Source organism: Homo sapiens, chromosome 5 (assembly GCF_000001405.40).
Source record: "Homo sapiens chromosome 5, GRCh38.p14 Primary Assembly".
NCBI lineage: Eukaryota > Metazoa > Chordata > Mammalia > Primates > Hominidae > Homo > Homo sapiens.
In genome coordinates, this window is record NC_000005.10 from 169,689,605 (window position 1) to 169,706,356 (window position 16,752).

Sequence of the window (16,752 nt, forward strand, 5' to 3'; positions counted from 1 at the left end):
GCACCAACTTCTTTGAGCAATAATGCCCAGGTGAACTGGGCACAACAGCAATTTTGATTTTCCGGTTCATTCATGATTAACCTGAGTTCCTTTCTTTGTTCAGGGCTTTCTGAAAAATCTTTCTAAAATATATCAGAAAAAAATAGGACCTTTCTAGAATATTGACTGCCTTGGTAAATTGGACATTCTGAATATAATTAAGTCATAGATGACTAACGATCTGGTGGGTCCTTAGGATCATCCTTCTAAATACCAATACTCACTGAGCAAGACATGTACGTAGAAATGTTGAAATCGATTGTTATTTGGATGATTTATTTCTGAGAGCGAAGCTGGCTTTTTAGCTCTGAATAGGGGAAACAAGGGAAAGAAGGAGATAAGTAAAGGTTATAATTTTTAGTAGAGACCCCTTTCTCATCCTGTTTCCATAAGGGTGTGAAGAGTGTGATTTTTTTTTTTTTTTTTTTGAGATGGAGTCTCACTCTGTTGCCCAGGCTGGGGTGCAGTGGCACCATCTCGGCTCTCAAGGAGAATCTCAAGTGATTCTCCTGCCTCAGCCTCCTGAGTAGCTGGAATTACAGGTGTGAGCCACCTCACCCAGCAAGTGTGATCTTAAGACACCTAAATATCTTAGCATTGTCTGTAAGCTTCTTTGGGGAGAACACTGTTTATGAGATTTTTCACTACATTGCCTGTATTAGCTAGGGAAATTACAGAGAAGGAGCCAGGGAGGGATTTGGGCATTGACCAAACAGATGAGTTGGATCCAGGAGTGACCGACATGCTAGATTAACCTACCTTGCTCTACAATAATTTTTTGGTTACAGCCCATTAATTGCAATGTCTTATGTTATGTTGTGATTACATTGAGGAATAGCTGATTAATTTTGTTATTTTCTTTAAAAAATGGGCCAGAGGCATGGAATGGGATCATAGGTCCTAATTGCTTAGGCAAAGTTTTCTTGGCATATATAGATGTGCCTCCATCCTGTTTATCTGTTATTAGTTACAAGGAGGAGCCTATTTATTTTCTGGATAAATAGGAGAGTCCCACAGGCCTTCCTGATTAAACCACAAGACAGATGTTGCATGAGAGGGAGAAGAACGGGGAATCAATCAGTGGTTCATTTTGCAGAGAACCAATTCATGATGTAAACATGGGGGAAAGAGCATCAGTAAATTTGTGTCACACAGCATTAATGAGAATGTAATCCTGCCTTCATGGAATTCTGCCTGGGCCACACCTCCGCTCCTCAGAACAAGTGGAGTTGAGAGCCTTGGTTGACAGGCTCAACAGGTGGATGCTTCCCTCTGTTAAGATGATCAGTCTTGATCTGGGGGTGTATTAGTTCATTCTTGCATGGCTATAAAGAAATCCCTGAAACTGGGTAATTTGTAAAGAAAAGAGCTTTAATTGGCTCATGGTTCTTCAGGCTGTACGAGAAGGGTGATGTTGGCATCTTCTCGACTTCTGGGGGGGCCTCAGGAAAGTTGCCATCATGGCAGAAGGCAAAGGGAAAGCAGGCTTGTCCTATGTGACCAGAGCAGGAACAAGAGACACGGGGGAGGTGCTACACACTTTTAAACAACCAGGTCTTAGGAGAACTCGCTATCATGATGATAGCACCTTTGGTGTCATTTCTCCTGGTGTTAAACCATAAGAAAGCACCCCCATGATCCAATCACCTCCCATCAGGCCCCACCTCCAGCCTGGGGATTACATTTTAACATGAGATTTGGGTGGGGACAGTGATCCAGACCATATCAGGGGGCAAGGAAGGTGATGGTGCTCTCACTTCTTATATCGATCCAAGAGCTAGCCAATGAGTGCCTACTATGCATGTGCTCTGTGCTAAGCACTGGCCATACAGCAGTGAGTGCTTTCATGGTGCAGTGGGGTTAAATTCAGATAATAAAATGCATGCACAAATAAACAAGAGCAATGTCAGAAAGCAATCCAAGCAATGCAGATAATTAAAACAGGGTGATGTGATGGTATGTGACTGGAAGTTACTTTCAACTGGGTGTTGAGGTGACGTTTAAATTAGAGATGAGATAAGACTTGGCAAGCATGTGTCTTGCTGGCCTTATTTCCTCCCTCTCTGGATGTTAGCTCTTCCTGGTCTCCTATGTTGGGGGAAGGCTTCCAGATCTTTGAGCCTCTCTGAGCCTCTCTGAGCCTGGCATGTGGGTCCAGCTGACTGTTGACTTTCCCTATGTTTTGTTTTATTTATTTATTTATTTATTTATTTTTATTTATTTTTTTTTTTGAGATGGAGTCTTGCTCTGTCGCCAGGCTGGAGTGCTGTGGTGCAATCTCAGCTCACTGCAACCTCCACCTCCTGGGTTCAAGCAATTCCCCTGCTTCAGCCTCCCAAGTAGCTGAGACTACAGGTACATGCTACCACGCCCCACTAATTTTTTGTATTTTAGTATAGACGGGGTTTCACCATGTTGGCCAGGATGGTCTTGATCTCCTGACCTCGTGATCCACCCACCTCAGCCTCCCAAAGTGCTGGGATTACAGGCGTGAGCCACTGCTCCTGGCCCTTTCCCTCTGTTTTGTAAGGGTTTACCCCACAAGGCTATGTAAGAAGAAAGCAGCATATACTACGAGGTTCCCTAAGATTTAGCCCAGTTTTGGGGTGGTTGCTAACACACAGGAAACAAGAGTGAACAATAAAAGAAGCACTAATGAGTTCCTAAATCAGGTGATGCTTGTTAAGTTCCATTGCCCTGCTTCCCCAATACTTTCGAGTTTTGTAAGGCCGAAGCAGAAATGACTGGGAGACACCATAGATTGGAGCACAATTCTGTATGAGGATTGCCAGTTGACACACCCTCCAGAGAATATAATGTGAATATAGCATTTGGCTATTTTTTACACTTTAAGATTCTTTAGTGTGGAGGTGTGTGTGTGGGGGTGGGGTGGCGGGGGGGCGCTGTCCGATGAGACAGCTCTAAGAGGTCTGACATCTTCCTTTGAGCAAGTAAAAAATTGTTAAGAGAAGAAGGTGGAATGGGGGCTTACCTGGGAATCTTCTAGGTTTATGTAGTATATTAGTTTGCTAGGCCTGCCATAACTATCACAGATTGGTTCATGCAAACAAGAGAAATGTATTTTCTCACAATTCTGGAGTCTAGAAGTCTGAGATTAAGGTGTTGGCAGGGTTGGTTTCTTCTGAGGCCTCTTGCCTTGGTTTGCAGATGACTGTCTTCTCCCTGAGTCTTCACCGTGGTCTTCTCTCTGTGTTTGTCTGTGCCCTGATATCTTCTTATAAGGACACCAGTCATACTGACCAAACAACCTCTTTTTAACTTAATTACTTATTTAAAGACCCTGTTTCCAAATGCAGTCATGTTGTGAGACACTGAAGATTAGGTATTCAATATATGAATTTGGGGTGTGTGTGTGGGGGTGGGGGAGCAATTCAGCCCCTTCAAGTCTAGGAAGCTTTCAGGTACCAGGGCCTCTGTCGCTCTGAAAGGCACCAATCTAAGTATTTCAAAAATATGGAGAATCCTAATTTGAGGAGAGAAGGTATTAGGGATGGAGGTCATTATGAAGGAAGGAGGATTCAAGTTTTAAAGATGGAAAGGATGTGGATATGTAGAGGAGGAAGAGGCAAGCATTGGAGGGGAAGTGTGGGAGCAGGGTGGTTAGGAAGAAAGATCCAGAGTTGGAAGTGAGCATTGTGTGTTTATGGAGCAATAAAGAAATCTTTGTGACAAAAATAACCTACTTATATTCAGAGAGTCATGGGGAATCAGTGGGCTAGGACAGCTGGATATATTATGTCTAGGTCCTTTCATGTCAACTGGGAAAGAGTAGAACTAATAGGGTAGGAAATAGGGAGCTATTAATGTTGTTGGGGGGAAATAAATGAAATAATAGATGCGATGTCTAAAGATGAATTCATAAGAGATTTCAGGATGGTTTGGAGGAAGGAGTCAGGCAGGCCAGAGACAAGGCTGTTCCAACCATCTGGACGTGAAATAATTGGGATCTCAAATTCAAATGCCTGCAGAAGAAGGCAAGGGATGCAGATGATGGGGTGGGGGGTCTTTCTTAGCCTGAAAAGCAGATGTCCATTCCTGCAGCTGGTGGGATGAACAGCCCTTGTACCAGTCAGTGCTCTCTGGGGAAACAGAACCCATGGAATATAAGTTTGCGATCCTAAAGGCAGGCTGGCAGGCTGGAAACTCAGGCAGGATTTCTATACTACAGTCTTGAGGCAGAATTCCTCCTTGTCTGGCAAACCTGTTTTTGCTCTTAAGACCTTCAGCTGGTTGGATGAGGCCCACGGACATTATAGAACGTCATCTCCTTTACTTAGTCAGCTGGTTGTAGATATTAATCAGGTCTACAAAATACCTTCATAGCAATATCCAGACCGGTGTTTGACCAAACAGCTAGGCACCACAACCTAGCCAGGTTGGCATACAAAATTTAACCGTCATGGTCCCCAGGCAGGAAGGTGTGGACCACACTGGGGCCTTGCCCTGTTCCCAGAGACTCTGCACAGCCCCACTCCCTTCCTCCTATACCAGCATAGTGAGAGGCAGGGGATGGCAGCTGTGCCTTGGTCCTGGATCTGATGTGAGCCGACAGCTTATTCCCAGTGCATATGCCCATATGAGAATTAACTCGAAGGAGAATAAACTGTTCCCTTTTGAGACCTGGCCCAGGGTACTCTACTCTGATGCCAACAGCATGTCTTGTTGTTTCTTCCTTAGCTGATCCTTACTGGCAGGGGGCCTCAAGATCACTGAAGCTTTTAGATTCGAGCATGAAGTCAGGAGTTTCCTCCTGCATGCCTTTCTGATGGCAAGGGAGCTGTACTGTAGTAGCTATGTTTGTGGTCTTTGGTGTCAGGGACTGGGCTCAAAGCCCAGAGTCTCATGGGCTATGGTCATGACCTTGGGGAAGCCTCTTATCTTCTTTGTGTCTCAGTTTCCCCATCTGTCAAATGGGGATGCAATAATTGTATGTACTTCAGAGATGTGAGAGATTGAATATGGTGATGCAGGAATCACTTAGCACAGTGGATGAGAGTGCGTTTCACCAGTTTTGGCTTTTCTAGACTCAGTTGAGCTGGGTCTGGTGGCTCATGTCTGTAATCCCAGCACTTTCGGAGGCTGATGTGGGAGGATTGCTTGAGCCCAGGAGTTTGAAATCAGCCTGGACAACATAGTGAGACCCCATCTCTTAAAAAAAAAATTAGGTAGGCATGGTGGCTCATGCCTGTAGTCCCAGCTACTCAAGAGGCTGAGGTGGGAGGATTATTTGAGCCTGGGAGACTGAGGCTGCAGTGAGCTGTGATCATGCTACTGCCCTCTAGCCTGTGTGACAGAGTGAAGCCCTGTCTCAAAATAAATAAAATAAATAAATAAACAAACAGATAGTTGACTGCAGTTTCCTGACCCCTTGAAGTCAGGTGCGGCCATATGCCTTTCTTTGGCAAATGACATGCAAGCAAAAAGTGATGTGCATCTCTCTTGGGTAGATGATTTAAAAGCCAGAAGTGATTTGCCACATTCCTTTCCCCTGTGGCAGAGACAGTGAGCGCACCCGTGCTGAGACAGAGCTGCCAGCCAAGGGCCCAGAGTAAGTAAGTAATCAGAGCCCCCACCCCTCTGCATTGGCCCTGTAGACTGCACCAGAAGTAAACTTCTGCTGTGTTGTAAGCACTGAGATATTGGGGTTGTTAGCACTACCTCAACCCAACTGATGGCCACACTTTAGATGTGCAGGAAATGGTAGCTGTTATGATTTTTTTCTCTTCCTTTTGTCTTCTCTCTCAGAGGTTCTGAGCAATGATGTGACCGATGGTGTCATCCGAGTCATCTGTAGCAAATGCTACTTTTGGATCTATCACCTCGGCATATGGGGAATCCTGTCTGTACAGCTGATATTCCACCTCTACCCTTCTCTTGCCCTATCATTTTGAGAGGGAAGAATTGGGATTAAACACTAGAGTTTTATCACTCATTTTCCTTTGCAAACCTTACCTTGCTTATCTGTGAAATGGATGTGAGAGCCTTGTTTCTATCTTTTCCAGGACTTATTGTATGATTGGTCCATGTATAGCAAGTATTATATACATCCCTCAGAAATTACTATTACTGGGTTTTCTTGTCTACCTTTTTTCCCCCATTCAGCACATGATGGTCAATTTTTTGTTTCTTTCCCCCCAGGATCTTGGAAACAAAGACCTCAACAGGGATAAAATTTACTTGATTTGTCAAATAGTCCGGGTCGGCAAGATGGATCTTAAGGATACTGGTGCAAAGAAGTGCACGCAGGGACTGAGGAGGCCCTTTGGGGTGGCAGGTAAGGGGCACACTCTGCATCATTGATTTTTATGGGAGCGCACATTTTATGTGGCTGAATTGTAATGATGATTTGTTTCCCAACCGCCTCCTGCTGCCCCCACCCCTGCAAAATTTATGCCAGACAGCCCTTAATAACTACATTTCTGGTGACTAAATCAAAATAATTGGTGACTAAGTCCAGATTTATGATGAACACAGTGAATCATGGGCTCCTCTTGTCTGGAGTAGAGCATCGGGAGACCGGGGCCGTCTGAGCAGTTGACACCTTTGCTCCCCAGCTCTGTGAAAAAGGAAAAACAATACAGGCAGGATCTAATTATGAGGAGCAAATCATTTAAAAAGTACATCTAGGACAGGAAATGCAGTTACACAGAATGAGTCACCTACCACACATCTAAATTCCAGATGGAAACGGACATTTGGAGAATTGGCGTGACCTGAGGCAGAGCCCTGCATGAGGCTGCTGTACAGCAACATCAGCTCTGCATTCCTCTTAAGCTTTAGCTCTCCTGGGGTTTCTAAGGCTTCGTCATTCTTGCCCCACTTTTATGGTTTTAGTTATGTTTGACTACCACTTGTACTGTTATTTACCAAATATAGTTTCTTTTAATCAACCTGCTTTACATAATGTATGTTTTTCATCAAAGGCGATTTAAATTCCTGTGAAAATGGCAATTTGATATGCCAGTTTTCTTTTTATTAAAATATAAAATTTTAAGAGTATACCGTGCATAACCCCTATGTACCATAGCTAACCTCAGTGTTTCAGGTTTCTCACTTCAAGATGCTCTGATCTGTAATCGCAGACCTGCTTACTCTCCAACTAGTCCCCTGGCACTGCTTGCAAAGCGGTGGAGTGGAGGATGTTTTACTGAGCTCACTGTTTTTTTTTTTTTTTTAACCTGGCACTGCGGCTAGCTAGCCAGCCAGTGATATTGGGCAAGCATTTTCCCCAGAGCCTTAGTTTTATTATGTGCAAAATGAAGGACTCATACCTGGTTAATTCATGAAATCCTCTACTGCTCTAAAATGCTCTGATTCTACTTGTGGGGGCATTTCTGACATCATGGTGTTTCTGTTAAGGCAGTAAGGATCCTTCAACCTTACTGCAAAGTGTGTCTTTGTCCTCAGCTGTAGCCTGCCCTCTCTTTTGGTGTCAGATGACAGAAATCTGATCTAAACTGGTAGAAGAAGGAAAAGAAAAGGTACTTTATTGGTGTAACTGAAGAGCTTATGAATAGATCGCTTCAGGCATAGCTGGATCCAGGAACTCAAATCAGTTTGTCTCTTTCTTGCTCCCATGTCCTCATGCTGGCTTACTATGAAGAATTTGTCTCTTTCTTGCTCAGCCCCTATGTCTTCATGCTGGCTTACTAAGAAGATGGCTGTCCAACTAGTTGGCAAATTATCAGCCAGCTGTTCCAAGCTTGCATCCTACCAACTTAGCAACCAGTGGAAAGAATGTACCTCTTTCCCATTAGTTTCAGCAGAAGCCCCAGGAGCTTTAATATAGGTCACGTCCTCATCTCCATAGTCTTTACTCTGGGCAGGGAGAGATGATTATCTGATCTACCAGGTCCTATGAATAACTTTGGAGCCAAAGGGAAATTGCCCTGCCCTAATCACAGCCCTGAGGATGGATGAGGAGAGTCAGTTAGAGAGAATGGATGCTCGGTTTCTCCTCCTGTCTGCTCTCTGACTCCCCTCTCTATCTAGATGCAGTCAGTGGTTGATTATTACCCAAGCAATTTTAATGGCCCCTGCCCAGTGCCTGGAGTGTTTGACGTATTTTCTGTAACTAGGGTATGAGCTTGATTGGAGTAGCTTTTCTCAGCCCTCTCCTACACTCCCACTTCTATAATCCCCATTCTAGTGTAGGAGTTCTTTACCTTGGTTTTGGGACCTTTAGTGGCTGATTTAAGGAAAGGTTTCAGAGGATCCAGGATACCTCTGGAATCACAGGATTTGAGGATTCTTCAGTTATGTATCTGTACATATGAGTATGCTTATGAAAAGAGGGTGGATATTTCATGAGATTCTCAGATCCTACAGAGACCCAATCACTGCTGTCTGGTTTTGTAGGCATGGTAGACATTCAATACATGCATGTCAAATCCAAACCTAATTGCTGAATTCCACAGCCACGGCTCTGACCCTTTCCTTTTGGCCTCTGCTAAGCCATGGTGCTCTTGGATGCCTCCCTGGCCCTCTGACCTCCCAGTCTGCTTTGCCTGGAGGTATTTGCCCTGGTGCTGCACGCGAGGAACCTCTGCTGTCTGAGTGTTGTGCAGCACTGGCTTGCTTGCCATTTTAGGCCTTCCTGACCCCCAGGCATCCCAGGCTCTACCTCCTGTCCCATAAGCTCATCCCACTGTCATCCCTTATGGGAACAGGAAGAAGTTAAACCATTAATTCATTCTGTCTTCTTTCTAGTTATGGATATAACAGACATCATCAAGGGGAAAGCAGAGAGTGATGAAGAAAAGCAGCACTTCATTCCTTTTCACCCGTAAGACATTTCCCATTTCTTTCCATTCTCTTCAACCACACCCTTTGTCATCAAGGGCTGCTGGAGCTCAGAGGGTACCAGTTCCCTGAGTTAGTGATAGGCAGGTGGAGCCTCCCAAGGGAAGCTCAGGGTGAGAATCACTGGCTCAGTGCCCAGGCACTCAAAACCAAACAGCTCTTCAGCCATTCATTCATCAGATGTTATTTATGCCACAGACATTTATTGGTGGCCTGGCAGAGGCTGGCACTGTGCTAGGTGTGGAGGATGAAGTAGTGAACAAGATGGGCCCTGTCTTCATGGAGCTCATAGTATAGATGGGGAATTAAACAGATAATCAACAAAAGATTAATGCATTAATTACAAGTGCAGCAGAAACCACGAAGCTGTGAAGCAGCAGCATTTCAGGAGCGTGTGGCAGGGAATCCTAACCTGGTTCTCATGGATAGACGTATCCATGACTTAGGAGGAGGGCAATAAGGGAGGTCAATGTCCTCTCCTCTCCTGTTCCAAAAGGAGTCTTCCAGAAAGCAGGGCTCCAGTTTGAGAGCATCATCAGTACTTAATAGCCCTAAGGATGGTCCAGGTAATGAGGCTAGTGACTTTGCTGAAGGCGTGTGATAACGACTTAGCAGGAGCAACTCTTGCTAAGCAGATATGCATGTTGAAAGCTTTGGAATCCTACCTTTATAAGCATCTTCCTGGAGAATAAGAAATGGCCTCTACCTGTAGCATTGATATTCCCAAATTTCAGAGCCACATTGCTTTGTGATAAAAAGTGAGGTACCTCTTGATGGCATGTATATACCCTGGGCTGACATATGCAAACTCACTTTTCACCTGAGGCGTGTGGAGGGGCTGGGGAGATTCATGGGACCCCTTGAAACGCAAGGAGGACACGATGTGGACATTTCATGCTCTCTTTTCCTTTCCAGGGTTACAGCTGAGAATGACTTCCTACACAGCCTGCTGGGCAAAGTCATAGCCTCCAAGGGGGACAGTGGAGGGCAAGGTAAAGTGCCAATATGCCAGTGGGCTGAGCCTGCTCCAGCTTGGGAGCCCCTAACTCTTCAGCAAATGAATCAAAATCCTGAACCCTGGGATACTTAGCTTTCCTTCCAGACAGACCACTGGGAAGAATGGGAACATATGATCTACAGGGATAAGTCACATTTTCTGAAGAAAATTGGAGGCATGTCCTGGTGCCCAAAAGCAGAGAGGAATTGATACATCCTGAATATCTCCGGTGTTCCGGGGGCACTTTAATAAGTTACCTTGTTTGATTTCTTTCTTAATCCAGGCCTGAGAGATAGGTGTTGTCATCCTCACTTTGGGCTTAGAGAAGTGGGATAATTTGCCAGAGGCTGACACCGCTAGAAATCATTAGCGGGATTCAGACCCAGAGATCGCCTGTTCCAGAGGCCCTGTGGGCTGGGTGGCTGCATCTGTGGCTGTATGACTCTGTTCCCAGTGATCTCCAGAAAGACAGAGGGGAGAGGTGGCGGGAGGGCCGACTGAGGGGTCACTTGCAAAAGTGGGCTCTTCACGGTGAGCTGTTCCTTTGCAGGCCTCTGGGTGACCATGAAGATGCTGGTGGGTGACATCATTCAGATTCGCAAGGACTATCCACACCTGGTGGACAGGACCACCGTGGTGGCCAGGAAGCTGGGATTCCCAGAGATCATCATGCCAGGTGAGACACAGCTGCTCTGACCTTCCCCTGGGGACATAGGGGCCAATTCAGCTTGTCTAATTCATTTTCCTTCTAAAGAGTCAACTCCTTCCTTTTTTACTGCCTCTCTCCATTTCTGTCCCTGAAGGTAACAACTAAAAATGATGTCTGTATATCCAAAAACTTCTATGCATTAACAAAATAGACACAAGCATGTAAATATAAACACATACCCCTTCTCCCCACAAATGGGGTCATATTTTATATTCCTTTACTTAATATACTTTATATAGTATTCTACAACTTGTTTTTATCACTTAATAATTTATTGTGGCCATCATTTATATTTTATACATGCAGAACAGTTGCACTCTTTCTGGGAGAATATTGTCATTCTCTTATATTTTTAAGCTTTTTTTTTTTATATTACCAAAGGAATTTGTGTTCATTGTAAAATATTCAAATGGCCTGAAAAGGTATAAAGTGAAATGTTAAAAGTTCCTTTATATCTTTGTCTCCAGAAGTAGCCACTACATTTCCAAATGTGTGTATAATTTTAAAAAATGAGTTTATATAATATTAAACAAAAATTATAGGAGGGCATTGTTTTGGACTAAGTTCCTGCACCAGCCCCCAACAAACCAGACTGAAAATCAAAATGGAGTCAGCTATGCTAAAGGGTCATGTCATCAAACCTAAACTAAACTGTTATCTGATCTTGCAAGAAATTCGGAGAGGGGAGAGAGGGCGGCGGGCGGGGGCAGGGAGAGAGAGAGAGAGAGAAAGAAAGGAAGGAACGAAAGAAAAGACAAGAAAAAGAAGGAGAGAAAGAAAGAAAGAAAGAAAGAGAAACAGCCTATTTTCCAGACAGGCCATTTTCAATTTTCAATGGGCATGATAATGAAGTTCCTGAAGTAACCTGATGTTAACAATCAGTCACTTTTCTATTTTTCTGTTTCCCTGTTTCAGCCTTATGAGGGCTATAACTTTGAAATAACCAATTCACTCTGTCTTGCTTCTACTTCCTTCAGGCCTTCTCTGTCTATAAAGCCAACCTCTTCTGCTCAGCTCTTTGGAATACTGATTCTATTTTATGGAATGAAGCATTGCCCGATTCTAGAATTGCAATAGAGCCAAGTGAGGTCTTCAAACTAAATTTGTTGTAATTTTGTCTTTTGACAATGGTAATACTCTTTTGAAACTTCTCTTTGTGTCTTAAACCTGTGTCTTGGACTTCCGTTCACGATGGCTCTCACTGACTGGCTGTTTCTTTCCACATTTGTCTGGCGGTTGTCTCCTAGGGCCTGTGCTGTCATTTATTTGTCCATGCTTTACCTGAGACTTCAGTTACTTGTGTAACCCCTTGTAGGATTTTCTATTCCTTTTTTTTTTTCTTTTTGTTTTTTTGAGATGGGGTTTAGCTCTGTTACTTAGGCTGGAGTGCAGAGTACAGTGGTTTGACCTCAGCTCACTGCAGCCTCTGCCTCCCAGGCTCAAGCAATCCTCCTACCTCAGCCTCCTGAGCAGTTGGGACCACAGGCATGTGCCACCACACTCGGCTAATTTTTTTGTATTTTTTGATACAGACAGGGTTTTGCCATGTTTCCCAGGCTGGTTTTGAACTCCTGAGCTCAGGCGATCTGCCCGCTTTGGCCTCCCAAAGTGCTGGGATTACAGGCATGAGCTACCTGTGTCTGGCAGATTTTCTATTTTTCTTACCTCCCTTCCTGAAGATCCTCTGCAGCTCCCTCCTAACCCTGTGTCCCTAGGACACATGGAAAGTTGCTCTATTCTGCTCCTACACAGTGAAATATCGGCAGATGTATATGTTTGGTTGTTTTCATGGGACAGGATCAATTCAATTGGAGCTTTCCTTTGCCTTCCCAGAAGGTGTCACTAGAGGATGAAAATTAAATGACTTTTAATGTCGAGAAAAACATGGCCAATTTTGAGTGTCCCTACTTCCCTTTTTGCAACTGATTTCCTAGCATCCCTTCATCCCCGTGTTACCTACTTCTCCAGCCTCCCTGATGAGGGAAAAATGCTTTCTCTAAGCAATTCTGATTTTAATTAATACCAATCCAGGTGGGAGAGCTTCTTCTCACCCTCCATCCCCTCTAGTTAGTCAGCGTCTCTCCTGCTGTAATCCACACTAACTCTTGTCTCTCTCTCCCTCTGCCTCAGGGGATGTCAGGAACGACATCTACATTACTCTCTTACAAGGTGACTTTGACAAGTACAACAAGACCACACAGAGGAATGTGGAAGTCATCATGTGTGTGTGCGCGGAGGATGGCAAAACGCTGCCTGTAAGGGACTCACTGCTGCTCTGGGTGACAGGGTCCGCCTTGGGGGCCTCTGCTTGTAAAGACGTACTTTTCCTCTCCCTGATTCTGTTGTCTAAATGCCAGGTGCCTTTGGGATGGTGTTGAATAATGTGTTCAACACCTTTTGAGCTTGGTTAGTGCAGTGTTCCATAATAAGACCTTGTGATATTTCCTTACACCAAAGCAGTTTTTCAATGTCTGTTCCTTTCCTTTCACAACTTCTTCTTGTATGTATGTATGTATGTATGTATGTATTTATTTATTTATTTACTTTTGCTTGGTCTCAGCTTATAGGTTAGCTTTCTGCAGTTAAAATGTTCTCACTGAAACCTGAGCTGGTTTATTCAGGCAAAGTCCATGGTAAGAAAGAGGATCAATACAGTGCCTTGGGCTGGTGTGGAGGCTCAGGATGTGCTTAAAGCAGGCATTCTCAACACTTAATCTAACTCCCCAGCGCTCAGCCAGAAATGCTGGTGGAAAGCCTTATTCGTAAATTGGTCTCCAGAGAGCTAGCAGGGTGTATTCAGGAATGCAAAGCGCATTGCTATATTTATACAGCATATGTCCTGTCCAATATTTGTCATGTGTGTTTATATTTATTTGCTTGTATTTTCTTTAAGGTTGTCAGTGCTGTGTCCAGTGTGTAGGAGGGTTTTGTTTCTCAGTTCCTCCTGACAGAGTAGTTAGCTGAAAAGAAAATCAGCTCTCAGGAGAAATTTTAGCATGGGCGAATATTCCTCTTAGGCCACTGTGAGTGATCAAATAGCCAAGCAGGGCGGGTGTGTTCATCAGAGAGGGGATGTGAAGATGGAAGAGGCATCATTTTTGTCCTTGGGGCCTGGAGATCAGACTGATACTTTGTACCCAAGAATAACTAACATTCACAGGGGAATTACCATGTGTCAGGCTGTGTGATAGTATGACACATTTCCTTTATTATGCCCCATTTTACAGATAGGGAAACAAAACCCGTGTCACTTACAGTAACTCGCCCAAAGCCATAATGTTAGCATATGTCAGAGATGGGGTTTGACTGGTTCCAGGCCCTCTGAGACACTTCACTACAATGCCCGTACATGTAGCAAAATTCTCCAATTTATTTCTCATTTTAAAAAATGAGGCTAATAACCACTGCTGGCAAATTTGGGAAGATTCATAATCGTTTTTTAAATGTAAAGAAATCCTCACAATTGCCTTTTTGTTCATAAAGACTGGTCATGTTAATTAGTATCTATTTGAACAAAATCTAAGCATTGAACGCATCCTCCTTTTGTTGCAGTCTGAAACTTTTTCCAAAAAATAAAATAAGTGAGAAATACTTGACTCAAAGGAACATAAAGGAGCGGAGGGTTTTTATCTGAAAGGGAAATTGCAATTCCCAAATGTAGAGACCATTGCTTTGAAGTTACTTTTATCCAACTTCCCTGGTAGAGAACTTTTTAACCTCAGCTTCATTTTTGAAACATTGATACGCTTACCTTCCATGTTGCCAAAGGACAAATTAAAAGACACAGTTAACAGGCAAGCAGCCATCTTATCTCCTGTCTGAGCCACTCTTTCTTCCACTTTTGTCACCCTTTCAAGTCACTACCGAGCAGGCTGAGCAGATGCACTTATCCAAGATGAGTAGGTAAGCAGGTATTCTGGGGGCTGACATGGAAAGGGAACTGTGGGGCATGGTGATGATTTGTGGTTTCCTCTATTAGGGAAATTCTGGGGGAGTTCAGTTGACTGACTATTGAAAATTGCTTAGGAAGCCTGTGGGAGGCTTTTCTTTCTCTATTTGTAGAAATAAATATTACTGCCTAATTAAGTGTCAGTCAGTACATTCAAACACTTCTGTTTGATATTGGTGGGCTCCTGTGGAAATGGTCCCCTTTAGAAATATTGATTTCTCCTCCTGCTCTAGGTGCATGCACACTGTCTTTGGCAGAGCAGGACCAGAGGGCAGAGGAGGTTAGGCCTGCTCATGGCTCACCTTGGGGTGTCAAGGGCCTTGCTCAGGAGGGGTCATAGCAGAGAAGCTAATGGGGTGGGCTCTGGGGTCAGGCAGACAGGGTTCAAATTCCAGCCTCCCCTCATATTAGCTGTGTGATCTTAGGCAAGTTTATTCATGTGTAAAAAGAAATAATAACCTCTTCTCGTGGGGTTGCAGGTTAAACAAAAGAGTAGGTATTAAAACAACTAAAAGAGTATGATTGGATTGTTTATAACACAAAGGATAAATGCTTGAGGACATGGATCCCCATCTTCCATGATGTGATTTTTATGCATTGTATGCCTCTATCAAAACATCTCATTTACTCCATATATATGTGTGTGTGTGTGTGTGTGTGTGTGTGTGTGTGTGTGTGTGTGTGTATGTGTATGCACACACTATGTGCCCACAAAAATTAAAAATTTTAAAATTAAAAAATTTTAAAAATAAACATGCTGCTGGGCACAGCGGCTCACACCTGTAATCCCAGCACTTTGGGAGGCCAAGGGGGGCAGATCACTTGAGGTCAGGAGTTTGAGACCAGCCTGGCCAAGAAGGTGAAACCTTGTCTTTACTGAAAATACAAAAATTAGCTGAGTGTGGTGGCAAGCACCTGTAATCCCAGCTACTCAGGAGGCTGAGGCACGAGAATTGCTTGAACCCTGGAGGCAGAGGTTGCAGTGAGCTGAGATCGCACCCCAGCCACTCCAGCCTGGCCGACAAAGTGAGACCCTTTCTCAACAAACAGACAAAACACGCCATAGGTATAAGGCACCTGGTATTGCAGTAAGTACCCAGCAACAGGAAGGAGGGTCACATTCAGAGAAGAGGACCAAGTGCAGGGTGAAGCCCTCTGAGGGACCTGAGGGAGTCAAACAGGCAATCCAGCCAGAAGCAAATTCTGGTGAAAGAGAAAGGCTTAGATGCTGGGCCAAGAAACCTCTGTTTTTCTGAGACCACCCAACTTGAGGCGGTGGAGGCAGGGGATAGGGGAAGTATGGGATAGTGGTTAAGACCATGACCCCTGGGGCCAGACAGCCAGGTGCAAAGCCCAGCTCTGCCTGAATTAGTAAGAGGATGTTGAGGCAGTTACATAACCTCTCTAAGCCTGAGAGTCTCTGTCTGAAAATAGGACCAGCAATGGCACTTTGCTCTTGTGAATATCAGATGAGGTAATCTACATAATAGGTGTGCATTAAATTTAGCTATTATTATTAGAAGGGTATACTGAGCTCCCAGCCTGATTCCTACCTTAGGCATGCTAATCGACATCCCATGATGTGGTCTTGTGAGAGGAGAACACTGTCTTTCCTAAAGTGTGTTCACATCCCTGGTGTCATCTCTTTCTCACCTGATTCCTACCAAGTAAACAGGACATGTGTTAGGAGCCTGGTTTTTCTTCCTGCAGAGATGTTTCTTCTAAGGCCAAGCCAACATGAAAGCCTCCAGGCTTCCTGATCCATACTCAGATTTTCTTCAACTGACCTGAAGTCTCCCACACCTATGAGGGGCTCTCACTGTTAATTGGGGGCCATGGGGATAGGCAATGTAGAAAATTATGGAACAGTGTTATTTGAGATATATACCAGTGTATATTTTCCCTAGAACTGGGCTCAGTCCCTGGTCACAATGCTCTCTCAGTGCACTTCCCAACACTGTTATTTCTCTGAAGTGCTGAGGCCTATGGCACTATCTTTGGCTTTTCTCTGACTGGTACTGAGACTTTTTTCTCCAGCCTTAGGAAATCAAAAATTTTCATCATCAGTACAGTTTTGTGAGATCCAGTTGCCTGCCATGCGGCAGTTTTACTTTCACCAGAGATATATGTGTAGTTTCTGATTTGGTAAGCTACATGGGATTTACTGTAACTACAGAAACTCTAAGCCCATAAATGTCAACAGATATAAATCTTTGTAGGCTGGAAGGCATCTAG

At 44.1% G+C, this 16,752-nt stretch overlaps 1 protein-coding gene across 8 annotated transcripts in view, besides 3 other annotated features; it reads left to right on the top strand.

Moving 5' to 3' along the window:
- The window catches only part of DOCK2 (dedicator of cytokinesis 2), a 446,108-nt gene that overhangs the window by 52,330 nt on the left and 377,026 nt on the right, over positions 1-16,752 (top strand). For all 8 annotated transcript variants that reach the window (NR_156756.1, NM_004946.3, XM_011534449.3 and 5 more), the window contains exons 10-14: positions 6,199-6,334; positions 8,770-8,845; positions 9,778-9,854; positions 10,410-10,535; positions 12,699-12,823. Coding sequence is in view for 7 of the 8 variants with exons in the window: in NM_004946.3 (NP_004937.1) it covers positions 6,199-6,334; positions 8,770-8,845; positions 9,778-9,854; positions 10,410-10,535; positions 12,699-12,823 (540 nt within the window). In the remaining variant the exon portion in view is untranslated. The remainder of the gene's footprint in view (positions 1-6,198; positions 6,335-8,769; positions 8,846-9,777; positions 9,855-10,409; positions 10,536-12,698; positions 12,824-16,752) is intronic.
- Positions 5,874-7,073: an enhancer, noted in NCBI's record as "BRD4-independent group 4 enhancer chr5:169122482-169123681 (GRCh37/hg19 assembly coordinates)". NCBI's record gives its function as "activates an origin of replication core promoter dependent on BRD2, P300/CBP, MED14 and CDK7 cofactors, and independent of BRD4, by STARR-seq in HCT116 cells {active_cell/tissue: HCT116}" and the evidence as "EXISTENCE:reporter gene assay evidence [ECO:0000049][PMID:35650434]".
- Positions 13,309-13,358: an enhancer, noted in NCBI's record as "active region_23597". NCBI's record gives its function as "activates an Ori minimal core promoter by ATAC-STARR-seq in GM12878 lymphoblastoid cells {active_cell/tissue: GM12878}" and the evidence as "EXISTENCE:reporter gene assay evidence [ECO:0000049][PMID:35858748]".
- Positions 13,419-13,828: an enhancer, noted in NCBI's record as "active region_23598". NCBI's record gives its function as "activates an Ori minimal core promoter by ATAC-STARR-seq in GM12878 lymphoblastoid cells {active_cell/tissue: GM12878}" and the evidence as "EXISTENCE:reporter gene assay evidence [ECO:0000049][PMID:35858748]".